Source organism: Homo sapiens, chromosome 12 (assembly GCF_000001405.40).
Source record: "Homo sapiens chromosome 12, GRCh38.p14 Primary Assembly".
NCBI classification, from domain to species: domain Eukaryota; kingdom Metazoa; phylum Chordata; class Mammalia; order Primates; family Hominidae; genus Homo; species Homo sapiens.
This window is the reverse complement of record NC_000012.12, coordinates 34,122,388-34,123,716: the sequence shown is the minus strand read 5'-3', so window position 1 is coordinate 34,123,716 and position 1,329 is coordinate 34,122,388. Positions and strand designations below refer to the sequence as shown.

The 1,329-nt window shown below is 44.5% G+C and overlaps 1 annotated feature.

The window, feature by feature from the left end:
- Positions 470-519: a silencer, noted in NCBI's record as "silent region_4343". NCBI's record gives its function as "represses an Ori minimal core promoter by ATAC-STARR-seq in GM12878 lymphoblastoid cells {active_cell/tissue: GM12878}" and the evidence as "EXISTENCE:reporter gene assay evidence [ECO:0000049][PMID:35858748]".

Genomic DNA, 1,329 nt, shown 5'->3' with positions numbered 1-1,329 from the left:
CAGCCTATATTTGCCTTCCAGTGGAGACAATCGCAGTATACCTGGACAAGGCTGCCACAAGGGTTTAAGAATTCTCCTAGGTGGGAATTGAACAATGAGATCACATGGACACAGGAAGGGGAATATCACACTCTGGGGACTGGGGTGGGGAGGGGGGAGGGGGGAGGGATAGCATTGGGAGATATACCTAATGCTAGATGACGAGTTAGTGGGTGCAGCGCACCAGCATGGCACATGTATACATATGTAACTAACCTGCACAATGTGCACATGTACCCTAAAACTTAAAGTATAATTAAAATAATAATAATAATAATAATAGTAATAATAATTAAAAAAATAAAATAAAATAAAAAAAGAATTCTACTATTTTCGAGGAGGCTTGGGCTACCGACCTTGAGGCTTTTGCGCCACCTAGTGACAATTGTGTGCTATTACAACACATTGATGATTTGCTCTTCGCTGCCCCCATGAGGGAGAAATGCCTCTAAGGAACAGAGAGGCTTCTTCACTTGCTGCGTGAAGCTGGTTACATAGTGTCCAAGGACAAGGCAAAAGTCTGCTTTCGGGAGATTGAATATCTAGAATTCATGGTATTCCAAGGCCAGTGCAGACTTAAAAGTGCATGCAAGGAGGCTGTATGTGCATTGCCCACCCCAGTTACAAGGTGGCAGGTCAGGGAATTTCTAGGTGCAGCGGGATTCTGCCGAACCTGGATTCCCAACTTCTCCCTTATAGCAAGGCCCTTATATGAGACTACCGAAGAAAAAAAAAGAGGGCTGCTCCTGTGGAAAAAGAAACAAGAAAAGGCCTTCAAAGATACAAAGGAAGCTCTCATCCAAGCTCCGACGCTAGTGTTGCCAGATGTAAAAAAAAAGTCCTTCTTTTTGTACGTGGATAAACAAAAGGGAATGACAGTCGGAGTCTTAACTCAATTGTTGGGTTCTTGGCATCAGCTGGTAGCATACTTACCCAAAGACTGGATTTGGTGGCCTTAGGTTGGACCCACTGCTTCAGGGCGTTGGCAGCTACTGCAATCCTTATAGAAGATGCCAACAAGCTAGCCCTAGGTCAAAAGTTAATAGTTAGGGTGCCACACGCTGTAATCACCTTAATGGAGCAAAGAGGACATCGTTGACTGTCCAATTCTAAAATGCTAAAGTATCAAGGGCTTCTGTATGACAATCCCCAGATAACACTAGAGACTGTAAATACCTTAAACCCAGCTACCCTGCTGCCTGTGGAGAAACCTGATTGAAAGGACGGTGGATTGCCTCACTGCTGGCAGGATCTTCCCCACTGTTGCATAAATACGGTGGACAAAGTGTT